Genomic DNA, 27,171 nt, shown 5'->3' with positions numbered 1-27,171 from the left:
CTGGCTTCTTGTTGTACCCCCAACATGGCAGAAAGAGGGTAAGAGAGCTCCCTGGAGCCCTTTTAATAAGCTCACTATTCCAAACATTAGGGCTCCAGCCTCATCACCTAATTACCTCTTACAAGCTCCAACTCCAAATATCATCACACTGGGCACTACGGTTGCAACATATGAACTTGGGGAAACACAAACATTCAGTCCACTGCATCTACTTTAAAGGAACCAAAACGGCCTGAGCACAGTGGTTCATTCTTGTAATCCCGACACTTTGGGAGGCTCAGGCAGGAGGACTGCTTGAGCCCAGGAGTTCAAGACCAGCCTGGGCAACATAGTGGAGCCCTATCTCTACAAAAAAAATGTGTAAAAAAAGAAAGCACAATGCAAAATTGCAGGTAAAGCTTTAAAGGTATAGTTTTTGTAAGAAAAGTGAGGAAGATTTGAAGTTAGTGAATGCACACTCGAAGAAAAGGCCTGGCCTTCTTCCAGAAGTCCAGCGAATAAATGTACATTTATGTTTTAACTTAAAATGAAACATAAATATTATGCTTTCACCTACTTTTTCTTTTTAATCAAGCTACTGGTGTAGAACTGTTATTCTGAATTTTCACAATCAGGAGGAAGAAAAAACCCCAAGCCATAAATATTTAAAACGATACTCACCTTCCAATTCATGGTAGACTGTGAATTCACTCCTGATCAACACAAGCCCCCAACAGACAAGTACATGAGAGGCAGCTGGAAGGTCTGATCTGGGCAGGAAGAAAGAAGCAGGTCAATTTGGAGTTCCTAGGGCAGACCACCTTAGAAAGATGTCTCTTTGATGGAGAGAGGGAATGTGAACAGAAAGTGAGCTCCACAGAGAGGTGGGCTGTGTCCTGACAAGGCGATTGAGAGACTGGTGGGAAGTGGATGGGCTGGGCGAGGGCCCAGACGGGCCTGGCCCTTGCTAAGCAGAAAGCTCTCCTCACCAGCTGTCTGTAGCCGCCAGCAGCACAGCGCCGCTTCTGAGGGGACATGGGCTCCCATCCCATTCATCTGTGAACCTAAGGGCCCAAGTCTAAAATCTGTCCCTCCACCTGCCTCCAGACCTAAACGCAAGCTGGTTTGGGAGTGAGTGTCTTTGTCAAGTCCTCTGAGTGTTAATTAAACTCATCTTGGTTTTTCGAAGATTATCTGGGAGCAAGGGAATAAGTGACAGGGCAGAAAAATTGTCAGATGCAATAATTCAGAGGCAGAATTTTCTCTAAAGCTTGAGGGAGACCTAGTAGAAGGTAGGGAAGGAAGTGATATCAGAGAGGATGGTGAATTGTGAATTCCAGAGTTGCAGAATTGTTCTTTAGATTCTGATTTTTTAAATGACAGCACTTTGGTTCAGAGGATATTACCCCAGGTCATATGCCACACCATGGCATATGGAAATGAGAAGGCAGGGCTGGCAGCCCGAGCCTTGGGATTCGCTCCAAGGCCTTGTAGGTCCCTACTCTTAGAATATGACACATACCCCCAAGAAGACTTCAGCTCTGGATGAAGAACCTACACCCTCTGGTAAGTGACTTCCCTCTAGAGCTTCAGTCCCATCTGTAAGTGAAGAAAGGTGTCAAGCAGATGGTGTTTAGTGCCCCTACTTCTTCTGAAATCCAATGCTTTATAGCACAATAATCATAGCTTAACTTTTTTGTGTCAGATGGAAAAAAGTGGCTAAAGTGCTTAGATGAGTTAAGACATTTAGCCCTCACAACTACCCCATAAAACAGCTTACTGCCTCCACTTTAGAGAGGAGGAAATAAAATTTAAGTAACACATCGAGGGTCTCGCAGGTGGGCCTGGGATTCGAACCCATCCAGTCTGGCTCCAGGGCTTTAACCTCGGCACCATCCTGACACAGGCAGAGAGCTTTGCATTCAAAAGTCAGGGAAACACTTCTCTTGAAATGTACTTACCGTCATAATTAAGAAAAGTGGCTGAAAATTTCAAAGGCCTTTAGATAGAATGGGGATAAGATGAACTTCAGGCAAGATGTTTTTATACAAACTTTCAATTACAAAGCTATCTAAGTATAAAAAGTTCATCCTCCATCTATTCAAGATTATAATATCTTGAAAACAAGCTAGCAGTTGGCACAAGGTAGCCAAGTTTTCCCCATGACTTTTTCAAAGTCAGATAAGGTAGCGATAGGAATTTAAATCATAGATCTGTTTAACTATAATGATGGTGGCTGAATGTGCTTGTTACCTTCATGTGTAAATGGCCCACTTGTCTTTAAGAAGCAGCAGATTCTGACTGCCCTAAAGAAATATGCTCCTAACATGTTATAACCTGTTGCTACAATTTTCACTTTGAGTATCTCTAGTAATCTTAGTGATTAGCTAATGTTGTATATTAAAATGTTAAAGATCTTACAAATTTTATTTTTACAATTCCTGCTTTAATTGAGTTGTATACAAATACAGTAGATGAGTCTGGCTGTTCCCTCAAAATTTTCAGAGGCAAAACTGCATACCCAGTGAATTGATGTACGTAGAATATTGATTCCCAAAGTCAAGAACGAGAAATAGGTCCAACGATCCTACAGGAGGAAATGAATGAAAAAACATCCAGTGGTCTGGCCCTCTGGAAAACATGTGCTATGTTCACTAGCAGTGTGACCTTGGACAAGTTACTTGGCCTCTCTCAGCCTCAACTTGCCCATCTGTAAATTCTCTTGCAGATTAGACTGTAAACACTAAGCACCATGGCCAGCACACAGAAAGCACTGAATGTCAGCCATTGTTGTTATGTTAAATCTCTCTCCTTCCATGACTGGACATGCCAACCTGAAGGATACAGGCTAGCGACATCCAGGGCAAAATGCAGTCATTCCAAGATAGCAGGGCAGGGAATAAAGATCAGTAGCCTGAGGACCAGGACAACTGGAGATCTGAGCTCTACTCTTGGTGTTACCCATGGTGTGGCATATGACCTGGGGTAAGTCATTAACCCTCCAAACCAAAGTGCTGTCATTTAAAAAATCAGAATCTAAAGAACAATTCTGCAACTCTGGAATTCACAATTCACCATCCTCTCTGATATCACAGAACCTGACTGCCAAAATATACTGGCAGCTGCCTCAACTTCATACCTGGAGTGATAAAATTCAAGCTCTTTAGGAAAGAAACATATTTAGAGTCAATCTGCAATTGTAGCAGAAGGGCTGTGGTGAGGTGGGAGTCAAGAGGGTGAACCACACTGACATGCTTTGCTCATTCCCACCCACTGCCTCTGAATTACCACTTTTCCCCACCTCCCTTCAATTACATGCCCAAGCCAGCCATTTTCATAGAGTCTTTTGCAAATGAGAAGAAAAAAGCTAAAAGTATCAGTAAGCTATTTGCTCTGCTGCCATATGTACACCTAATGCAATATTAGAAACGAGGGAGCTGGTATCTGAAGGTTGAACTGCAAAAGCCAACAAGGTGGGGATGTTTTTGAGGGGCATAAAATCTAAGAAGTGCGGGAAATTTTTAACTTTCCCTGGACCTATCCATGATCTTAGCTTAAAACACAAAAGTAACAAGTGGCTTAGATACAACTCCAAATATTTCTATTTCCTTCACCGCAAAAATACCCTGTCTTCCTTTGTCAGGTTTCTCTTAGAAACAAAAAAGCTATTCGCTTATTTTGGTTAGACCAACTAAAGCAATATGGATAATGTGTCGTCCACAATCTATTAATACTTTTTCTTCTTGGCACACTAACAAATTCAAGGATCAGTCTATCGCTTGCTGTCTCCTTCCAGCCACGAATCATGCTGCGCCCTTTGTCTGAGCTTTCTGAAGCTGTTCTCATTCCCGGCCTCTACCCTTTTCACCCAACCCTTCACCCAATCATAAGGAGGGGTAGGTCCAGAGAGGGGGCTGCCAGGTGAACCTTGGGCATCACTTGGCCCTCTACACGGAAGCCTGGGCCTACAAGAAACCAGCCCTGCCCGATCTCAGCTGCCCAGACTCCACAACTCAACATTTCAGGGATCCACCGAGAAGCGATGACAGGTGTCCGGGTCTCTCCCTGCTGGAAGCCCAGGCCTCGGAGGGCGACGTCGGTGCCTGTGCTCGCTGTGCAACCCTGGGCGAGTCGCTGAACCTCTCTGGGCCTCAGCTCCTCCTGGGTAACCTGGGGGCTAGTTCAGGGTCCTCTCCCCATACCCTTCCCCCAACACTCAGGGAGCAACACCCGCCCTCCCCACCCCCCGACTTCCCCCAGAGCTGCGGATGAGGACCAGGGGCTGTCATCGCTTCCCCCACCATTCCAGGGGATTGCTTGTCTCCCTAGACTCTCCGGGGACCAACACCGTAGGCTTGAACCAATCCTGGGCCCCGCCCGGGCCACGTGCCAGCCGGAACACGCTGCTCAACGGGTTGACGGCGCCCGACGGCCAGGTCCAGCAGGGGCGCCCCGCAGGTGGGGCCTGGCGGCCTTCACCTTCCGGATCCCCGACCCGGCGCGACCGGGAGCCGGCAGACTTTTGTCTAGGAGGGAAAACCCGAGCGCGGGGCCGGCCGCGACATCGCAGCATCCCAAAGAGCTTTTGGAATTTGGGTCACTCCCTTCTACCCCGACGTCACACACTTACTGCTCCCGGCAGCGGAGGCTCCAGCGCCTGGCCGCGCACAAACCACGACTTCTACCGTCCTGCCGGGGAAAACTACAGGTCCCGAAATGCACCGCTACGTGCTCAGGCGCAGTGGGCCGGTGCCGCCGACGAGAGTGCACTACTCCGTGCGCAGGCGCAGTGGGCCCGGGCAGAAGACCTGGGGCGCGCTGCTCACTGCGCAGGCGCAGTGAGCCCAGGCGGGCAGCCCTGGCCAGCAGCTCTTGTCCCTGTGGCTGGAGGCTGAAGTCCACGTAGGCCCCGGCGGGGAGCCGCTGGGGTGTAGGCCGGGTGCCTTTGTCCAAGCCTGGCGGTGCGTTCTCACTCTGAACTCACCTGAGCTGGAGGGTGGGTTGTTGCGGGACCCTTCCGCCTTCCGCTGTCTCGAATTCCCTGGGTGTCTCCTCGCTGCTGTCTGCAGCTGAGGACACGTGGGTGCCCTTAAGAAGTTTCCAGACGCAGTGTTCGTCATCTCTGACAGCGTGCATGCATTTTCCTTTGGGGTAACGATATGGTGCCGCGGTACTAGGTTTCCAGATTTCTTCAGTCAATATGCTTAGTAAACGCGTACAGAGTTTGAGCCCACTCAGTGCTAGCGCCATGTGAGGGCACAAACTGGGCACCCAATACAAGGAAAGAGAGGAATGTGCAGGGAGTTACCACCATGTGCTCTGCTCCCCTTCTAAGGATGAGGAAACTGAGGCCAGGGGAGAGTAAGGTGGCTGGCAATAGAAAACGCGCGAATGGCAGTGGCGGAATTGAGATTCGAACCCAGGCAGTGTAACTCCAAATCCCATCAGGACTCTTTGTGGTTATGTTAGAATGTTAGAGGGTGTGGAGGGAAGAACAAACTGAGGGGTGGAGGGGTTGGTTCTGTTAAGGGAAGTGTTCCTGGAGAAAGTTACAAAAATAGCTTTGTTCTAAGCACTAGTGGCTATTGCCTAAGTCTCATAACAAGGCTGTAAGGGACGTGCTATAATGATAACCATTTCACAAATGAGGAAATGGAGACACAGAGATTAAAGTAATTTTTTCGTGGTTTTAAAGGCCGCAGGTACCAGAGCTGGGACTTGACCCTGGGTAATCTGGGTATAGATTCTATCAAATCAGCCACTATCCTGGGCTCCTTTTAAAATAGCATCTGAGCTATGCTTTAAGAAATAAGTGGTATTCAGGTTATATGGAGCCAATAAAACAGGCAGAAGGAACTCTAAAAGCAAGTGGGGTAGAAAAAAACAGCAAGTTGTTTGAACTGGCATTTTCAGTTGCTGGGTTGAAAGTGAAAAGCCCAGGTTTGGTGGGAGTGGATCCTAGGGTGACAATCTTGGCAAATGGCTTCAACCACTAGACACCCAACATGCTTGGAGAGAGTCAGCATTTCTCCCATTCCCCAAAAGTGAAGTTGGCTGATAACCCTCTATGTTACCACCTGTACTTTCAGTGATGATAATAAAATGTACTTAATTAGGAAAACCTCGATTTTTTTTTTTTTTTTTTTTGAGATGGAGTCTCACTCAGTCGCCAAGGCTAGAGTGCAGTGATGCAATCTCGGTTCACTGCAACCTCTGCCTCCCAGGTTCAAGCAATTCTCCTGCCTCAGCCTCCCAAGTAGCTGGGATTACAGGCACCCACCACCACACCCAGCTAATTTTTGTATTTTTAGTAGAGATGGGGTTTCATCATGTTGGCCAGGCTGGTCTCAAACTCCTGAGCTCAAGTGATCCTCCCACCTTGGCCTCCCAAAGTGCTGGGATTACAGGCATGAGCTACTGCACCCGGCCAGAAAAACCTCGATTTTGCTCTCCATGTGTTTACCTGTGTCAAAGGTAAAGAAAGCCAGTTAAAGCAGTAAGGATTGACTGAAATCATTAGCTATTGCCAGAGGGAAGAGGCCCAGCTCAACTTCCCTTTGTGCAAAGGTAACTGAGTGGGGATGGGGCTTGAGCAGAGTCCAGGAAGTGGAAATGCATAGAAAGTGGGAAGGGGTTGGTCAGTGTGATCTGGGTTTGTTAATTGGCTCCTATCTAGAGTAGAAACAAACTTCTGTCTGTGATGGGGAGCAGTAAGTTAGAGCAAGGCACCCATCCAGCAAGGAGAGTTTGAATGTTTGCATTTCAGAGAGACAATACAGTTCTGAATGGTAGAAGATATACATCTCAAGGGAGAGAGAAAGGATTTATAATTGCAAACTTTCTAAAGTAACTGCCTTAAGAGAGGGATCAGGGGACTATCTGCCTGTCACCAGGTTTTGGTTGGAACAATTAGTAAATTCTTCAGGCCGCATTCACTTTTCTCGGGCAGGCGCTTTAGCTTTCAGCTCTTAGAACCTATGCTAGCGTTTATGTCTCTTAGTGTGCAAAGGTGGGCGAAATCATGTGTGCTGAGAGTCTGCAGTTTTTATAGGGCCATGGTTGGGCTCTAGTCAAGAAGAGGGCTCAGAGGAGCTTGACAGTTTGGTTAAGGAGAGGGTCTTTGTCACCTGATGGAAACCTCGGATTTCTGTCTGGATGCAGAGCAGAGGGCTGGGATTTAAAGCCTGATGGCTGCTCTGGCCTCTCTGAGATGGATGTTTCTGGGTGGGACAACATTTCTGGGTTTCTGATCTGAGGAGGGAAGCCACTCTTCCTACATCTGCTCTTGGAATATGGATGGTTTTCTCTAACTGTACTGAATGCTTCAGTTGGCATAATTGCAAATCTGTTATTAGGAAGTAGATACCTTGTACATATCTCACTCTGTAATTTTAAAGAGACAAACCTTGTGATTGGAATAACGAGTTCTACAAGCATTCTCTGAAGAAGAGCCTCTTTTTCTAAATTTTGTCCTAGCACCCTGAGGCTTGAGGCCTTGCCCATCGTTGCTGTGCCTTGGCTGGGGCATGGGGAGGAGAACAGGGTAAACTAGGAGGCATGAAGCCATGGGATGCTGAGGCCCCACATCTCTCTGCTGCCATTGACCTGCTACTCTCAGCTGCTCTGAGAGAGAAGACCTTGACCTGCATTAGGCATGCCCTCCTGTCCTTGTGCTGGCTGGCTGTGTCCCCTTTGCATTGATCTCTGTTAGGACCTTGTCACATTGTACTATGATGTTTAGCATCTGTCACTCAGGCTGGAGTGCAATGATGCAATCTCGGCTCACTGCAATCTCCCCCTCCCGGGTTCAAGTGATTCTCATGCCTCAGTCTCCCCAGTAGCTGGGATTACAGGCTCCTGCCACCACACGCGGTTAATTTTTATATTTTTAGTAGAGATGGAGTTTCACCATGTTGGCCAGGCTGGTCTTGAACTCCTGACCTCAGGTGATCTGCCCACCTCAGCCTCTCAAAGTGCTAGGATTACAGGTGTGAGCCACTGTGCCCGGCCTTGCTCATCTTTATACTCTTGGGGTCTAGGCCAGTGGACCAAGTAGGTCAATGTTGCCTGACCGAATTAGTGAATGAAATTGTCTCCTCTCAGTGGACTGCCCTTCTCTCATCTGTAAGTGAAGTGGTCTCTGCCAACAGTAGAATGATCAGCCCTGACATTCTATGATATCCTGCACCACATGGTGCAAGATATTAAGTAGTTCCTGTCTAGGTCTTCAGAGGGCATCAGCAATTTAGACCCTTTCTGTATCCTTTAGTTTCTTAAACATAAATGCTAACAACTAATTATAAATAGAGGAAAACTAAATCAAGTTAAAAGAATACATTTTTAAAGCGACATTATAACTTTTTATTTTTTTTTCTTAAATAATGAGAACTTTTTAAGATTAGTTTTCTGCAAAACTTTAAATGTTAGTTTTAAAATATGTTTTGTTATACTGGGTACTTCTTAAATACTCTACTTCTCTGGTATGGATTATTTGTCCTTTGAAATGTTTGTTCAGGTTCGAGACCAGCCTGGGCAACATAGTGAGACCCTGTTTTTACAAAAAAATACAAAAGTTAGCTGGGTGTGGTGGCACACGTGCCTGTAGTCCCAGCTACTAGGGAGGCTGAGGTGGGAGGATCACTTGAGCCCGGGAGGTTGAGGCTGCAGTGAGCTGAGATTGCACCACTGCACTCCAGGCTGGGTGACAGAGAGAGACCATGTCTCAAAAGAAAAAGAAAAAGAAAAAGAAAAATGTTTGTTCTGTCTTAAGACTTCTAAATAGGTTAAAGGCCAGGAAAACAATAAATGTAAAGTAATCTTATGGTTTGTTTATTCATCTCTTCAGACTCCACACTCATGAATTAATATTACAGATAAATGCTCCTATGTCCGTCTGGTAAGCAAGTGATAGCTTTTGAGCCTCAGCTTCTACATAATACATCTGGGTTATTTATAAATTGAATTTGTCACACACAAATGATGTTTCATGAGAAAGAAGATTCAATGATTTGTAAATCTCTCCTTTCTATCCCCACAGCCACTGCCCAGACACTTTACTTCAAATTTGGCTTTATTTTCATCATTGATATTGATTAAAATGACATTCACTTGCCCGGAAAGTAAAAGAGGTCTTCAGCACAAAATATTGCTCCAACAAGCAAGCATAAATCACTGAGATTGAAATGTCATCTATCTTTATTGGCCAACCACATAATCTCCATGAAAATTCTCAACAGAGAGCAAGGAACTCACTTTCTTCTAAGCAAAGACAATTTGGATTTGCCTCGTGGCACTGGCATCTCTTCATGTCTGGACGTCAGATGTTAGCTTGGTGCCTTTCTCCCTTATCAGGGGGACATTTTGAACCCAGCCGCACCAATGTTCTCATGGATGGTGGCCTTCGATTCTTCTAGATTCAAGATTTGGCTCTTGTACTTTTCCTGCCAGTCCTCTACAATGTACTGGTGGTAGGGGTCATTGGAGTGTTCCCGTCTCTTGGATTTCACAGTGCTCACCAGGATGGCCACGATGATGAAAGAGAACATTCCAATCATCACCATGAGGTACAGGATGACATAGTAGAAGTTCTCAGCATCAACTTTGGCTTGGAGGGCCTCTTGCTCAGCTGTTGTGTTCTGGCGCCAATTGTCCATATAAGTAATAAAAATCCTTCGGAAGACGTCTTCCAGCGTCTGTGTGAAATTGGATAAAGTAGACATGCTTCCCTCCTGCTGCAATTTAAATAATAAAATAGGCGAACAAGGTTAGGAAAACGGATCTTTTCTGGATTTGGCTATGTAAAGGTGGGAGGGAGATGCCAGGGTATAAGTAATAGTATTTCTTCTTAACCTGGCTGGTGATTTAATGCATATTTTGTTAGTCTTTAAACTGACTGCGTACATTTTATTCACTTTTTTTACAATCCATGATTGTTACACAGTAAAAATTTAAATGGCAGAGAAAATTATATATATACACTTTGATATTTATATATGCATGTAAATAAATGTATGTGTACATATGAAAATGGAGAAAATATTAGAAGTACATAGATCAGAATGTTAACAGTGGGTGGTGTGCTTAAAGATATGTATTTTCTTCTTTATGCTTTTCTCATATTCCAAATTTTCATCAGCAGTCTTGCATTACTTTTGTTTTTTAAAAAATTGGTAACCTTACAAGAGCTAGAATAATGCCACATTCATAACAAGCACTCAACAAACGTCAGTGGAATGGACCAATGACTCATTTATGTTCTCTGTTTTTAGAGAATTGTGGGGCATTATGAGATAACATCAAGAGAAAAGATTGCAGGGGGCATTGACAGACTCTCCAATTTGTTCCATCCCCTATGTCTAAGTGGCACATTGTCCCAAGTATCCTAAAGGGAGGGGTGTGTACATCTATATTTGAAAGAAGCATTTTAGGTAAGTGATGCCAAGAAACAATCTGAGAGATTATTCCTATGTTTCAAATCCATCTCTCCTTTTCATCACCACTGGCACCGCCCAGCCTCCAGCATCTCTCACCTGGATAATACAATGCCAACAATGTAATACAACACAACCCTCCCCAGAGCCATCTCTTTGGGGTTATATGTGCCCCTCTCTGCCTTGAATAGCCATCAATGTGCCCTTTTTTTTTTCTTAAGACGGAATCTTGCTCTGTCGTCCAGGCTGGAGTGGGGTGGCACGATCTCTGCTCACTGAAACCTCCGCCTCCCCAGTTCAAGCAATTCTCATGCCTCAGCCTCCCAAGTAGCTGGGATTACAGGCACATGTCACCACGCCTGGCTAACTTTTGTATTTTTGGTAGAGACGGGGTTTCAACACATTGGCCAGGCTGGTCTCGAACTCCTGACTTCAGGTGATCCACCCGCCTCAGCCTCCCAAAGTGCTGGGATTACATGTGTCAGCCACCGTGCACAGCCAATGTGCCTTTTTGAAGAGGGAAATTATAGTGCAATTTGTTTGCTTTTAAAATGATGCGATGGTTGTTCTTAAAATCAAGTCCTAATTCCTTAACAGTATTTACCCCATTGGCTGAGCAGGCTCCTGACCACCTCCTCAGTTACCCTTTGCTCACTACAGTTCGGTCACACCTGACATCTTCCCTCCCTGTCAGTAAGCTCTCTTTCCTCGGGACATTATCACATCCTATTCTCTCAACCTAGAATGCCTTTGCCTTTCTCTTCCACCTGCTACCTCCTCGTTCTTTAGGTTCCAGCTAGTTGTCACTTCTGAGACTTCCCTGGTTCTACTCTAAATCACTTCCCACCACCACCACCATTTTCCTCCAACAGCATCTCCTTTTTCTTCAAAAGCACACATCACATATGCAGTCACTAAATGTGTGTGTATATATTCATATTACTTTTGTTTAAAAAAAATTGGTAACCTCACACCAGCTAGAATAATGCCATATTTATAACAAGCACTCAACAAATGTCAGTTAAATGGAGCAATGACTCATTTATATTCTGTTTTCAGAGAATTATATACGTGTGCTTTTTTATACATCTCTGTTTTTAGAGAATTGTGGGGCTTTAGACATAACATCAAGGCAAACGATTGCAAGGCAAAAATTTTTTGTTTTTTTGAGACGGAGTCTCGCTCTGTCACCCAGGCTGGAGTGCAGTGGCGCGATCTTGGCTCACTGCAACCTCTGCCTCCCAGGTTCAAGTGATTCTCCTGTCTCAGCCTCCCAAGTAGCTGGGACTACAGGCAACCGCCACTACGCCTGGCTAATGTTTTGTATTTTTAGTAGAGACGGGGTTTCGCCATGTTAGCCAGGATGGTCTCGATCTCGTGACCTCGTGATCCACCTGCCTCGGCCTCCCAAAGTGCTGAGATTACAGGTGTGAGCCACCGCTCCCGGCCAAGATTTTTTAATACATACATACATACATATATATAACATACATATATATAACATACATATATATATATATATATATATATATATATATTGTGTGTGTGTGTGTGTGTGTGTGTGTGTGTGATTATTGGTTTAGGGGCTCATCTTTTCCACTCGGCTGTCATGTCTGCCAACTTTGTCTAGCTCGGTATAGCAGATGTCTAACACATAGAAGGCACTCAATGGACATTTGATGCATGAATTAAAGTGCCAGGTACTATGCTAGGCGATGAAACTGCAGAGGTGACAGGAACTCTGTGAGAGGCTCAGTTGAATGGGAGAGACCAAATCAATGACAATGCAACGTGCAAAGAGTTGCAACAGGTATGGACAAAAAGATAAGGGGGCTCAGAAAATGGAGCTGAACACGGTTCATAGATGGGGCAAGTGGGTTTCAACACAGCTAGAAGGAGCACAGGCAGGAGGTAAACCTGTGACTAGCCACTAGTAAAAGCCCCAGGATCCCAGCAGTGGGTTTGCCTGCTGCCGTTCTAAAGACATGCCCGTCTCTTTAGCATGTGACTTTTCTTTCCTTCATGAAAAGAGAATCAGATCTCCCCATCTGGGAAAGGAATTTCAATCAGCTGAATAATCAAACCTACTAAACAAATAAACTTGCAGGCATTCTCCCACAGAACATCCCTCCCCAGGATTTTCCTCATTGAGAATTACCATCACCAAGATAATATACTCTTCTCTGTCTGATGTTTTAAGTTCTATTATTTAGAGAGCTCTAAGATCTTTGTCTCCCTCTCCTGGCCACACAGGCTAGTGGGTTGGAAGGAAACTTAACAAATAGATAAGATTGCCCCAGGGTATATACCAAGCATATTTCCTAAGCAATGTAACAGAGATGTGCTTTTTCCCCTTTAAAATGATATAGTCTGCTGTGAAAGTTAGCTGAGCTGGCTTTAATCCACTCAAGACTTTGCCACTGGCTCTTTTACCCTTTTATTTTCATTTTATTTTTTATTAACTCTTTTTTAAAATAAAAAAGTAGTGATGAGGTCTCACTATGTTGTTAAACTCCTAGGCTCAAGTGATCCCCCTGCTTCAGCCTCCCAAGGTGCTGGGATTACAGGTTTGAGCCACCATGCCAGACTTTTTTTTTTTTTTTTTTTTGAGATGGGGTCTGGCTCTGTGAGTATAGTCTTTTTCTCTTGTAGGAAGCCCAGCCGGTTGTTACCAATCCATAGTACTTTCCCTGACCTCCCCAGGTCTAGGCAGAGACCCTTTTTCTGCCCCTTCTGCAAATGACCATGTTAGTTTTGTTTTTTTCCTTTTTTTTTTTTTTTTTTTTTTTTTTTGAGATGGAGTCTCTTTTGCCCAGGCTGGAGTGCAGTGGCGCGATCTCGGCTTACTGCAAGCTCTGCCTCCCGGGTTTACGCCATTCTCCTGCCTCAGCCTCCTGAGTAGCTGGGTCTACAGGCACCCGCCACGAAGCCCGGCTAATTTTTTGTATTTTTAGTACAGACGGGGTTTCACCATGTTAGCCAGGATGGTCTCGATCTCCTGACCTCGTGATCCGCCCACCTTGGCCTCCCAAAGTGCTGGGATTACAGGCGTGAGCCACCGTGCCCGGCCTTGTTTTCGTTTTTGAATTACCCATGTATTGTGTGCTTATTCATGTGATCCTCAAAACCACTCTATAAACTCCTACCTTCAGGATGTTTAGTGAGATTCAGTAACTGAGTCCCGATGACAGGAGAGCTTGAGCCCCCGGAAGGCAGGGATTGCTTTACTCATCTCTGAATCCCGGGACCCTACACAGCGATGGGTACGTAGCAAATCTTTACTAAAAATCTGTTGAATGAAGGTGTGAATGAATGACAGTTCCTCTGTGGAATTCAACTGGAAACTACCAGAACAGTGATTCTTAATTTATTCTTAAGGGGTGTGGGAATTGGGGGTGGGGGAGGGGCGGTGTTAAAGATCCCTCGAAAAGTAAAATAAAATGATGTGACTTAATTTTTCCCCAAGAAAGTATACCTATGCACGTAGGAAGCTCTACATTCAATTTCAGGGGACTCCTGGGACCCCTAAGGCCCATCCAAGAGTCTCTGCCACAAAAGGTCTTTGAGATGAGGGACTTCAGTGCTGAATTCCACTGGAGTCATTTGGGTTTGTTTCCAGGTGCAGGCATGGCAGCGTTCACCAGCCTTTTAGAGCTAAGCAGCCCCAACTGCCCATTATTTGTTCAACCCTTCTAATGTGAACAAAGGCCCCACTGCTAAGCCGGTCAGGAGGTGCTTTTTGATAAGACTTAATCACAGGGATGAAAGGGCCTATAGGGATTAAATGTCTAAGTGCTCACCCGTGGCCAGGCCAAATAAACAGGATCCAAAAGGGATTTGGCTTTTGAATACGGATGCATGAGATGTGGCCGAGTGGCCCATGCCTGCTCCATGACCACAGGAAAAAAACAAATCACAGTGTGTGAAAGCAGCTTCGTTGAAGGACATTATGCTAAGACATTCCAATTATAAGTGGGTTGATTTCAATTTTTTATTCCCAGAATTACTGTTTAACTGACTGATAGACATCAACCATATTTGGAGGCCAGGCACAGTGGTTCACACCTGTAATCCCAGCACTTCGGGAGGCCGAGGTGGGAGGATCGCTTGAACCCAGGAGTTCGAGATCAGCCTGGACAACATAGCGAGACACCACCTCTACAAAACATAAAAAAATAGCTGGATGTGATGGCACACTCCTATAGTCCCAGCTACTCAGGAGGCTGAGGTGGGAGGATAGCTTGAACCTGGGAGGTCAAGGCTGCAGTAAGCCATGATCACACCACTGCACTCAGCAGTGACAGTGAGACCCTGTCTCAAAAATCAAATCGAAACAAACCATATTTGGTATACATACTTATCCTACCCCTAAGTAGAATATCATAATAGGCATTTACTTTAGTAATGCTAAGACAACTACCATTTATGTTCTCTGGAATTATATGAAATAGCCATTTATATAGGTTAGAAATGGTCAAATATGGGCAATTCATGTGTATCAACCTAGGAGGACCTACATTTCCAGTGAATGCTTCTTGCTGAGTCCTAGCACAGGCTGGGCCCCTGGAGATCATTTAGGCTGGTTTGCTCTCTGATAGGTGGAATAACTATAGCCTAGAGGGCTTAAGTCACCTGTCCAAGATCACAAGCCTCTCAAGTTGGCCACAGTGCCTGGACTAGAACTCACATCACCCAAGCCAGTGTCCAGCACTGACTGTCCTAGCAGAGGTCACACATTCCAATAACTCACTGTTTTCATTGCTGTGACCAGTTGGCTCAACTGGGTACAAGACATAAGATCAAGACCATGATTTGAGCTTACACATGTCATTAGTTGTGCCCTGTCTCCAGGCTACAGAATGATCCCCTAATTCCAGCCATTCCTGTCATGAATGTGTGTTATTCATGACAACAGCAATCAGGACACTATTAGGAAAGTAACACTCATTTGACCCCAAAGTCCAGAGTTTTCTTTTCTTTCTTTTTTTTTTTTTTGAGATGGAGTCTCACTCTGTCGCCCAGGCTGGAGTGCAGTGGCGTGATCTCGGCTCACTGCAAGCTCCACCTCCCGGGTTCATGCCGTTCTCCTGCCTCAGCTTCCTGAGTAGCTGGGACTACAGGCGCCAGCCACCACGCCAGGCTAATTTTTTTTGTATTTTTAGTAGAGATGGGGTTTCACTATGTTGGCCAGGCTGGTCTCGATCTCCTGACCTCAGGTGATCCGCCTGCCTCAGCCTCTCAAAGTGCTGGGATTACAGGCGTGAGCCACCGCGCCCAGCCCCAAAGTTTTCTTTTCTTGAAACATGGTAGATCGCTCACATCACCTGGGCCTATAAAAGGCAGCAAAGTCTTTCATTTTTATATCAAGAAGAGAAAACAATATGATTACCTACGTTTACCATGAATCCTCCATTTTAAAAACTCTCAAAATTTTCATTCTAAGGCAATTAACAAAGAAATGAGTAAGGAAAACACAAGAAGGAAAGAAGGAAGAGTGGATGAGGAGCCAGGCCATGTACCAGGAAAATCATTCCTTTTATCATTTTCTGGAAAAGGCACATAGATAACTTTGTTACTTAATTCCTCAAAAAATAAAGAATGTGTGCTAAGACTTACCTATGCAGTGTGTGGGCAGGATGAAATTCCTTTCCAAAGCCAGGCTGTTCTGAACCTTCTTGCTGGCGTTAGCGAGCTCTCTTCTGGGTTGCACACAAGCCTCAGCCTGCTGGGCACCTTCACCTTACAACCATCTAAGCCCTTGCAACTGCAGTCTGCAATCCTATGCTTTTATGAACCCACATGTTTAATCTAATCGTATGTGGAAAGTTAAATACTAACTGGCAGTTGGAATTCACCTTGGTGCCTGATGGGGTGTGTGCCTCAGGGACTCTGGCTTTGGGCAGAGTGGCACAAGTTCCTGCTCTGGGACCCTTCCTGCCAGCTCCAGCCAGGGCAGGGCCTGGGTACAGTGAACATCTTTCCCCAGAAGAAGTCTTCCTCTTAGGGTAGGCTTGGGGGACAACAGCATTCCCTGCCAGAATACGTGGGAAGGGCTGGGTGGGGTGGCTCACGCCTGTAATCCCAGCACTTTGGGAGGCTGAGGCGGGCAGATCACCTGAGATCAGGAGTTCAAGACCAGCCTTGCCAACATGGTGAAACCCCGTCTCTACTTAAAAATGTAAAAATTAGCCAGGTGTGGTGGCACACACCTGTAGTCCCTGCTACTCTGGAGGCTGAGGCAGGAGAATCACTTGAATCCACAAGGCAGAAGTTACAGTGAGCTGAAATCATACCACGGCACTCCAGGCTGGGTGACAGAGTGAGACTCTGTCTCAATGAAAGAAGAAAGAAGAAGAGGAAGAGGAAGAGGAAGAAGGAAGAAGAAGGAAGAAGAAGGAAGAAGAAGGAAGAAGAAGGAAGAAGAAAGAAGAAGAAAGAAGAAGAAGACGATGTGGGAAGGACAGGGCCCCAGGGAGAGGAGCCAAGAACAGCCATCTCTGGGTGGTTGGTATGGGTTGAGGGGGTCAGTATAATTCCAGGCAAGTGCCGTGTTCTGAAGACGCTAAATAAGCTAGATTCTGGTAAATACTCCTCCACGGGACCACATCCAAATGAGTTTATAACAACATTGTTGTCTTGTAAAAGAGAAACGGGCTGCAAGGGTACTAAGGTACTACATGGAGGAGCTGGAAGTTAAGTCCAACAAAGAGGTTTTGAGGTTTTTGTTTGTTGTTGTTGTTTTGAAACAGAGTCTTACTCTGTCACCCAGGCTGGAGTGCAGTGGCGCAATCATAGCTCACTACAGCTTTGAACTCTTGGGCTTGAGGGATCCTCCTGCCTCAGCCTCCCAAGTAATGGGACTACAAGTGTGTACAAAGCCTGGTTAATTTTTATTTTTATTTTTGTAGAAATAGGGTCTTGCTGTGTTGCCCAGGCTGGTCTCAAACTCTTGGCCGCAAAGGATCCTCCAGCCTCAGTCTCCTAAGGCGGTGGGATTACAGGTGTGAGCCATGGTGCCTGGCCCCCAGCAAAGTATTTAAAGACCTAGCAAGAGCTAAACATACTCTATTTACCAAAAGATCCTTTTCTATCATGGTGGGGACCCTTGGAATTGGGAGAACTGAGTCTTTATATTGGCTATCATTTAGGAGTGCTTACCATGTGCTTTTATCGTATTAACCTCAGGTAATCATTGCCACAACCTGATGTGGAAGGTACTGTGAACTTAGCCAAGGGAATCAGGGCACAAGAGGTCTGATGACATGGAGGTGGAGCCATTTGGATTTGAATCCAATTTAAATGGCAGCCACGGAAGTTACACTCACTCACTCAAAATCACTTCAAGGTCATGTGGGTGGTCATTACTCTGTAACTTGTCTCATGGTTTTGTAAAAGGAAGGTTCACTTTGTTTTAAAATTGGAGTTTCACATTAAATGGTGCTCTGAACCATGTGGCTTGAAGCACACTGGGTGGCAAGAGGAAGATAGCTAAGATTTAACATGATCTACAAATTATTGCAGAGTTAACGTTATTAGGTGTATTTTAAAGAAATACGAGGATCTCTGTAACTCCGCAAAAGCTTCTCATTAACACCATTTGTCCTCATGGGTTGTCTTCACTGAACAAGATAGGCAAACTCAGCCAGGAGGAACACTTTGGTGGTGTAACTGTGTTCACCATGCCTCTGCAGAAATGGAAGCAAAACGTTCAAGTAAGAATTCCGCTAGGAGACGGTGCCACCTGCTGGTGGGAACAGGGAACTGAGGCCAATCTTCTAACTCAGCCCTTGCGGTTTAACTTCACTCTTGAATTCTGGCGCCGAGGAGAGGGGAATCAAAGCAGCGTGTTGTGCTTTGGTAATTAAAGGCAGAACTGGACGGCGATGTGTCATGGAGGCTGGCAAACCAGGTGAGCAAATTACTTACTGTCCCTGGTCTTTGGATTCTTCGTCTGTAAGATAGAGATAAGAGTTCCTGCTCATTTGGCTTGTTATAAAAGTTAAATGTGATCACAGATATATACAGCACTTAGCACAGAACCTGGCACGAGGTAGGATAGTAAAATCTATAAATTGAAATGCAGCAAAATTCATTTCTTGTTTTAATAAAAGCAAATGTAGAATGTTTTACCCATTCAATGAAAAACTAGGTGGGAAAAAACACTTTAAGAAAAAACTTTTAAACAGAAATCACCAGCCGGACATGGTGGCTCACGCCTGTAATCCCAGAACTTTGGGAGGCCGAGGCGGGTGGATCACCTGAACTCAGCAGTTCGGGACCAGCCTGGCCAAAATGGTGAAACCCAGTCTCTACTAAAAATACAAAAATTAGCCAGGCGTGGTGGCACACGTCCGTAATCCCAGCTACTTGGGAGGCTGAGGCAGGAGAATCGCTTGAACCGGGGAGGCGAAGGTTGCATTGAGCCGAGATGGTGCCACTGCACTCCAGCCTGGCCGACAGAGCGAGACTCTGTCTTAAACAAACAAACAAAACCCAGAAATCACCAAATAAGGTGGTAGAAAGATATCTGCTGTGGCATAAATGTTTGTGTCCCCCCAAAATTCATATAGTGAAATTCTAACTCCCCATGTGATATTACTAAAAGGTAGGGCTTTTGGGAGGTGGTTAGGCCAAGAGGATGGAGACCCCGTGAATGCGATTAATGCCCTTTTAAAAGAGGCTACAGGGAGGTTGCCTTCCCCTTTCCACCATGTGAGGTCGCAGCTAGAAGGCACGGTCTATGAATCAAAGAGGGAGACCTCACCAGACACCGCATCTGCCAGTGCCTTGGTCTTGGACCTGCCAGCCTCCAAACTATGAGCAATAACTTTTTGTTATTTATAAGTCATCCAGTTTATAATTTTTACTATAACTGCCCCAATGACTAAGATAATATCTGAATATATCTATAATCACAATATCCTTTAAAATAAGTACCTATTAAAAGAAGTATTATTAAACTGAATAACAAAATAAAATCTAGCTATATGCTTCTTAAAAGATAAACATCTAGGCTGGGGCTGGTGGCTCACACCTGTAATCCCAGCACTTCGGGAGGGCGAGACGGGCGGATCACTTGAACCCAAGAGTTCGAGACCACCCTGGCCAACATGGCGAAACCTCATCTCTACTAAAAATATAAAAATCAGCCAGGCATGGTGGCATATGCCTGTAATCCCAGCTACTTGGGAGGCTGAGGCATAAGAATCACTTGAACCTGGGAGGCAGAGGTTGCAGTGAGCCAAGATCACGCTGCTACACTCCAGCCTGGGTGAAACAGCAAGACTCTGTCTCAAAAAATAAAATACAAAATAAAGATGCACATCTAAAATAAAAACAAATAAAAAGTTGAAAATAAGGTGATGAAAAAACATATCAAGCTAAGGCTAAAATGCAGACATCTAAGAAAAACTGAAATTTCAGGTGATCCATAGGATATTAAATGTCACTACAATTTGATAAAAGAAACAACCTGCGAAGAAGATAGTAAAATCATGGGCTTGTATATGGACTCAAAATATTCAAAGTGAAACAGGCAGATTTACAAGAAATTGAGGCATGCACAATGGTAGGAATTAGGTTTCAGAAACTGATAGATTTTTTTAAAAAGTAAACATATAGAATTGAGTAATAGAATTAATTACCTTTATAAAATAGATGGAGAGAACCCACACCTAACCAACAAATGATGTGCATTCTTTATAAGTGTCCATAAAACGGTTTTAAAAACTCACCATGTGCTGGGTCACAAAAGAAGTCCAACCAAATTTTTAAATATCAGCTTTATGTAGACTGGGTTCCATTACTACAATGCAGTTGAATTATAAATCAGCAAAAATATAGTCTGTACACCTTGATATATCTGAAAACCAAAAAATAAGTATATCATCACGTAACATATGGATAAAGAGGAAAACACATAAATAATAAGATATTAAATTACAAAGGAACTGCCATATATTTGAAAACTTCTGGGATGCAGACAATGTGAACCTTAGAGGCAAATTTATACAGTAAATGAATTCACTAAAAGGAAAAGAGGCTGGGCATGGTGGCTTATACCTGTAATCCCACTGCTTTGGGAGGCTGAGGCAGGAGGATCACTTGAGGCCAGGAGTTTGAGAACAGCTTGGGTGACATAGTGAGACACTGAGACTCTATCTCTATAAAAAAGAAATTGTTTAAAATTATCTGGGAATGGTGGTGCATAGCTGTAGCCCTAGCTACTCAGGAGGCTGAGGTGGGAAGAGGCTTGAGCCCAGGAGTTCTAGGTTAGACTGAGCTATTATGGTGCCACTGCACTCCAGTCTGGGTGATAGAGTGAAACCCTGTCTCTAAAAAATAAAAATAAATAAAAGGAAAATAATAGGAACTCATTAAACTCAAAAAGCAAAAGAACCAAAAAATAAACTAAAAATGTAGAATAAATGAAACTTTAGAACAAAAACAGAAAGGAACAAAAGAGAAAACAAATAAAAATAGAATCAACTAAATAAAAAGTCACTCTGGAAATACAATTTGAAGTTTTGGATGAAATATATAATTTGCCAGAAAAATATAAATTTCCAGAGTCAGCCCAAGAATAAATAGAATCTCCGCAGAAATCTATTTTTTAAATGTATCAATTTAGTGGATGGATTTACCAGCAGCATAGGCAAAGCTGAAGAGAGGATTAGTGAATTAGAAATCTAGTCAGCAGAAAATATCTACAGTGAAGCACAGAACAAAATAATAGGATACACCCAAGAAAGTATGAGAGATACAGGAAAAAGGACTAACAGAAGTACAGTTGGAGTCCCAGAAAGAGAGGAGAAAGTGGCTGAAGCTGAAGCAATATTTGAAGAAATAGTGAATGAGATTTTTTCCAAAACTGCTTTTTAAAAAAATCAAGCCATGAGTTCAAGAACTAAAAAGCTCAAAGAGAATTATTTCAAAGAAAGTCACACCTTTGCATAAAATGCTTAAAATCAAAAGCAATGAGAAAATCTTAAAAGCAGATGGAGGAAACAAAGACTGAAACACATGGATCATAAAAGGAAAATATTGATATATTGGGCCTCATCATTATTAAAGTCTTTTACTCCTTGAAGAACATAATTAAGAAAATAAAAAGGCAAGTAATATACTGAAAAAAATAACCACCATGAATTTGTATCTAGAATATACAACAGATTTGCATCTAGAATACATAAAGAACTCATCATTTGAAAAAAAATTGACTCAATAATAATGGACAGTAGGTTTATGCAGACACTACCAAAAAATATATACAATAAGCACATAAATGCTCAACGTCATTGGAAATATAACTTGTAATTACAATGAGATACCACTACGCACTCACCAGAATGACTACTTTTTTTTTTTTTTTGAGATGGAATCTCTCACTGTCCCCCAGACTGAAGTGCAGTGGTGAGATCTCGGCTCACTGCAACCTCCCTGTCCAGGGTTCAAGTGATTCTCCTGCCTCAACAAGAGTAGCTGGAATTACAGTGCACACCACCATACCCAGCTAATTTTTGTATTTTTAGTAGAGACGGGGTTTTGCCATGTTGGCCAGGCTCATCTCAAACTCCTGACCTCAGGGTGATCTGCCCACCTCAGCCTTCCAAAGTGCTGGGATTACAGGCATGAGCCGCCATACCTGGCCAGAATGGCTACATTTAAAAAGACTGACAACACCAAGTGTTGGTGAGGATGTGGGCTAAGTGGATTTTCATACATTGCCTTAGGAATGTAAAATGATACAGCCACTTGTAAACAGTTTGGTAACTAGATCAAAAGTTCCCAACAATGCCCCTTCTAGGTATTTACCTAGAGAAATTTTCAAAATATGCCACACAAAAACTCATGAATGTTTATAGCAGCTTTATTCAAAATAGCTAAAAACTGGAAATAAGCCAAATATCCCTCAACAGATAAGTGGGTAAACAAATTGTGTTTTATTCACACAATGAAATATTGCTCAACAATAAAAAAGAACAAATAAATGATACATGCACCAACAGGGATGAATCCCACAAAGATTATATGAGCAAAAGAAGTCAGACACAAAGAAGTTGTACTGTTTGATTCCATTTCTAGAAATTCCAGAAAGACAAAAGCCATCCCTCGTGACAGAAAGCAGATTAGTAGTTTTCTATGACCAGATGAGGGGAAGATTGACTGCAAAGGATTAAGAGACAATTTTGGAGGGTGATAGAATTGTTCTATATCTTGGTTGTTGTAGGTGGTTACCTGAGTAAAACTCATTGAACCATGCACTTAAAATGGGTGTGTATAATTTTATGTAAACTATACCACAATAAAGTTGATTTCTTTAAAATCCATGTATTTGTAGGGGACTTGCAAATGTGTATCTCCAGTCCAGTCCTCTTCTCTGAATTTCAGAATCAAATGTCAAGATGCTCACTTGACATTTTCACTCAGATGTCTAATAGGCATCTCAACCTCAGATGTCCAAACATAACTCAATTCTCCTACCAAACCTACTCCTATCCTATCACAGTAAAGTGACTCCACTTTCTTTCTAGTTGTGTAAGCCAAAAAACCAAAGAATTAACTTAGATTTCTTTTTTTTTTTTTTTTTTTTGGTCACCCTGCCACACCCCCAATTCACTAGCAAATACTGTTGACTCTGCATCCTGTTAAAGAAAAGACTCTGCACAGGTTGAACGTGGGTGTATGAGTTTGTGCTGGGTGACATCGAACCCACCAGACCCTTAATACCCCATCTCAACTTCTTTGAAAACTGTGCCTGGGTTTTTGTGCCATAAACTAGTACAATGGCCAATTGCAAAGAAGAGTCACAATCCGTCTCACCAGCCAAACAGACAGCTGTTATCAGAAGCTTGCCTTTTTCATTGTCATTTCTCACTGTTGCCTTAAACCTAGTTCTTTCCATTTTTGCACGAAAAGCCTCTTAGAACTTGTCTCTCTTCCCCTAGCCCCGAAGGTAATAAATTGAAATATGTTTCTTACTGCTCTGTTGGTTTTTTTGTTTTGATTTGACGCTCCAGGCTGGGCACAGTGGCTCCCACCTGTAGTCCCAGCACTTTGGGAGGCTGAGGAGGGTGGATCACCTGAGGTCAGGAGCTCGAGACCAGCCTGGCCAACATGGTGAAACCCCGTTTCTACCAAAAATACAAAAATTAGCCAGGTGTGGTGGCAGGTGCCTGTAATCCCAGCTACTTGGGTGGCTGAGGCAGGAGAATCGCTTGAACCCGGGAGGCAGAGATTGCCGTGAACCGGGATCATGCCGCTGCATTCCAGCCTGGGCCACAGAGCAAGACACCATCTCTAAATAATAATAATTATTATTATAGTAATAATTTGACTCTCCAAACACGTCCCCGCACAGCTACTTCTCAGCTCACACCTGGACTGCTGGCCGCTCACGCCTCTGGCTTTGCACTCTGTCCCTATTCACATATTTCTAAGAGGGACCAGTGGGATCTTTTGGAAACACAAACCACAGCCCGCAATTCCCCTGCTTGAAACTCTCCATTGGGTTCCTTTCACCCTGAAAATAAAACCCGGAATGCTTAGTGCAGCTGGCCAGGCCATGGAAAAACTGGCCGCTGGTCCTTTCTGCGAGCTCATCTTCTCACATAGTCTGATCCTGCTTCTCTGCTTTTTGTTTTGTTTTTGTCTTTGAATCTGTATTAGCTTCCCATTGCTGTTATAACAAATGACCACAAACTTAGTGACTTAAACAACACAAATTTATAATATTATCTTAAAGTTCTGGGGGTCAGAAGTCCAAAGTGGATTTCACTGGGTTAACATCAAGATGGCAGCAGAGCCAGTTTCTTTTGGATGCTCTGGGGGTTGAGGAGGGAGTGTGAATCCATTTCTTTACCTTTTGCAGCTTCCAGAGGCCACCCACATTCTTTGGCTCTTGGCCCTCTCCCTGGCATCCTGGCATCCCTCCAGCCTCTGCTTTTCTTTCTTTTTCTTTCTTTCTCTTTCTTTTTTCTTTCTTTTTCTCTTTCTTTCTTTCTTTCCTTCTTTCTTTCCTTCCTTCCTTCTTTCTTTCTTTCTTTCCTTCTTTCTCTTTCTTCTTTTTTTTTTTCAGAGTCTCATTCTGTCACCCAGGCTGGAGCGCAGCGGCACGATCTTGACTCACGGCAACCTCCGCCTCCTGGGTCCAAGTGATCCTCCTGCCTCAGCCTCCCTAGTAGCTGGAACTACAGATGCCTGCCACCATGCCAGGCTAATTTTTGTATATTTTTAGTAGAGATGGGGTTTCACTATGTTGGCCAGGCTGGTCTCAAATTCGTGACCTCAAATGATCTGTCCGCCTCAACCTCCCAAAGTGCTGGGATTACAGGCATGAGCCACCGCACCCGGCCCAGCCTCTGCTTTTGTGATCACATCTTCTCCCACTCCCTGAGCCCCCTGCCTGCTTCTTATAAGGAGCCTTGTGATTGCATTTGTCCCATCTGGATAATCCAAGATCATCTTCCCATCTCAAGATCCTTAACTTAATAATCACACCTGCAAAGTCCATTTTACCAGGTAAGGTAACATATTCACAGCTTCCAGAGATTAGGACAGGGACCTCTTCATGGTGCAATTATACGGACTGCCTCAGCATCTTTGCATACGCTGCTCTCTCTGCCTCTAATGCTTTTCCCCCAATCTTGGCACAGCTTCTTCCTTCTTCACATTTCCCTGATAGCACTTTGTATTATCTGAATTGTGTGGGGATGCCATGTACTGTTGCCCAGGCAAGGCAGGGCTTAACCCGGGGGCAGCTGTCACTTAGTCTACAGTGTGAATGGTGCCTGTGCATAGTCTCACAGCTGTGCGTGGCTTCTTTGAATTATGAAGTTTTCCTGTTTTATTGATTGTTTTTTTCTTTCCTGTCTCTAACAGAACTTGAGCTCCATGACAACAGGGACCTTACCTGTATTGCCCATTCTGTGTCTGGCTGGAAAAAAGCTCTCACTGTATCCCAAAAGAATGGTGATAATTCTAGATTCTGGCTGTGATGAAATCAACCACCTCATCTATTTACAAGGTACTAAGATTATCATTCCGATGAAAAAGACTCTGGAAAAGAAAGTTTTCACCTTTTCAAAACCATTAACAATACATGACGTTTCTAATTGAGCTCACAGAGTAGGAAGCTTTCCTTGATGCTATTAATGTGAGCACAATGGTTTTGTGAAAAGCTGGAAATGGGGGCATTGAGAATCTCTGGTAATTTCATTTAGCTATGCACTGAGCTTCTACTTTCTCTGTGCCTGGTTCAGAATATTAGAAGAGATGGCAATGATTCTGGAGTGGATTACACCATTTGACTGAGGAACTACTGGAATTTTCTTCTTCTCTAAGATACACACAAGCATGACGACTTCCAATGAACAGGCCTCACCAAGAACTCTCCAAACATGTAGGGTTTCTTTAGTTTATCAATGAAACAAGCAACTTGGTAGGATGCTTCTGAAATGCCGCTGCTGTGATAGAGCAAACCAAGTTTTGATAAAGTTGATTCTCTTCTGATGGAGCCTTCCCCCAAGGTGCTTTCCCAGCCTTGCTGGCTTCATGCTTCTGGGATTGAGAAGCTTGTCACCATCATCAACAGGCCTAGTTTGCAACGGAAAGCCAGAGAACGTCTCAGCTTCCTTGTGTTCTGTTTGCCCTGACATTACTGAACTTTAGCAAGACCCAAAGTTAACAAAGACCCCTGTCACAGGCCGAATGGCAGGGTATGTTCTTTGATTTCTGTTAGTGGAAAATGAATGTAACACAGAGATCACATGGGCTGTGAGGCCCCCCTGTAGCCTCCAGCACCCTTTCTTCCTGGAGCATGAATCTGGACGGAAATGGTGCCGTATTAGGTTTGTTTTACAAAGATGATTTTCAAAGAGGAAGAGGATCAAAAGAAACAGAAAAGAACCCCCAGCGTGCAGGCCACAGGTGTGTGGGGGTTAAAACTGGATGGGAAGGAGAGGGGGAAGTCCTGGAACTCAAGGAGGCACAACCGTGGGGGCTTCATTTTCCCCAGGAACTATAAAAGGCCAATGGGCTCTTGTAGGAAAAAAGCAGATCAGCACAGATGGGAGCAGAGAAAGGGCTCTCACAGCAAATTTTGCCGGCTTTCCAGTTTTTCCATAGATCAGACCACTTTTTGGCCTTTGCTTAGAACCATCAAGCTTCCTCCTTAGGCATCCAGCACAGCTCTTTCCATATATGTGGCGGTTTTTTGTTTTGTTTTAATAAAGAAAAATGTTTATAAGCATTGTACACATTGCATACTGGAAATCTGCCAAGAGAGTAGGTTTTAGGTGCTCTTACCACACATACCCCCCCCCAAAACACACACGAACATGGACATGTTAATGGTTGGTGTAATATGTTAACGGTATGTTAATTTGCTTGTCTGTGGTAATCACTCCACATATGTACGTCAGAACATCTTGTTGCATATCTTAAATACAGACAATAAAAAAAGAAAATCTTGGCTGGGCGTGGTGGCTTTTGCCTGTAATCCCAGCATTTTGGGAGGCCAAGGAGGGAGGATCACATGCCAGGAGTTCGAGACCAGACTGGGTTAACATAGTGAGATCCCATCTCTACAAAAAAAAATTTTAAAAAGAAAATCTTTGAAAAGTTAAAAGAGAAATATTGAAGAACAGTGAAAACAGGTGTTATAGAAATCATTTTAGTTCTATATAAAAACTTTTATTTGTTTGTAAATAAAAATATTTGATATTTACATTCCATCGTTATTAAATGTTGTATCTTTTTCTGA

General features: G+C 43.8%; 2 protein-coding genes and 1 long non-coding RNA gene across 5 annotated transcripts in view, besides 1 other annotated feature; 1 reads left to right on the top strand and 2 right to left on the bottom strand.

Moving 5' to 3' along the window:
- Positions 1-4,670, bottom strand: part of SMIM11 (small integral membrane protein 11) — a 13,645-nt gene extending 8,975 nt beyond the window's left edge. The window contains exons 1-2 of one of the 2 annotated variants that reach the window (NM_001376899.1): positions 3,998-4,670; positions 661-749 (exon numbers count right to left, since the gene is read on the bottom strand). In NM_001376899.1, coding sequence (NP_001363828.1) covers positions 661-672 — 12 coding nt within the window. In that variant the 5' untranslated portion in view covers positions 673-749; positions 3,998-4,670. The remainder of the gene's footprint in view (positions 1-660; positions 750-3,997) is intronic. The other variant, NM_058182.5, reaches the window with a different exon arrangement.
- Positions 4,613-4,907: an enhancer, noted in NCBI's record as "tiled region #13847; HepG2 Activating DNase unmatched - State 1:Tss, and K562 Activating DNase unmatched - State 1:Tss". NCBI's record gives its function as "activates a minimal TATA promoter and a strong SV40 promoter by Sharpr-MPRA in HepG2 and K562 cells {active_cell/tissue: HepG2 | K562}" and the evidence as "EXISTENCE:reporter gene assay evidence [ECO:0000049][PMID:27701403]".
- On the top strand, positions 4,815-27,171 carry LOC105372791 (uncharacterized). Of its 2 annotated transcripts, NR_188571.1 has the most exons (3): positions 4,815-4,940; positions 9,017-9,742; positions 25,290-27,171. It is a non-coding gene; the product is annotated as an uncharacterized LOC105372791 (long non-coding RNA). The 2 variants fall into 2 exon arrangements; NR_188572.1 differs by lacking the exon at positions 25,290-27,171 and having other exon boundaries at positions 9,017-10,006.
- On the bottom strand, positions 8,796-16,171 carry KCNE2 (potassium voltage-gated channel subfamily E regulatory subunit 2). The gene is made up of 2 exons (NM_172201.2): positions 16,026-16,171; positions 8,796-9,710 (listed from the first exon to the last, which is right to left on the bottom strand). The coding sequence occupies exon 2, from the start codon at positions 9,696-9,698 to the stop codon at positions 9,327-9,329; it is 372 nt and encodes a 123-aa protein (NP_751951.1). The 5' UTR covers positions 9,699-9,710; positions 16,026-16,171; the 3' UTR covers positions 8,796-9,326.

Source organism: Homo sapiens, chromosome 21 (assembly GCF_000001405.40).
Source record: "Homo sapiens chromosome 21, GRCh38.p14 Primary Assembly".
Taxonomy (NCBI): domain Eukaryota; kingdom Metazoa; phylum Chordata; class Mammalia; order Primates; family Hominidae; genus Homo; species Homo sapiens.
This window is presented reverse-complemented; position numbering and strand designations above follow the sequence as displayed.

What these genes read in the sequence shown, in the direction of transcription:
- KCNE2 (NM_172201.2), bottom strand. Translation starts at nt 9,698, where the DNA reads ATGTCTACTTTATCCAATTTCACACAGACGCTGGAAGACGTCTTCCGA.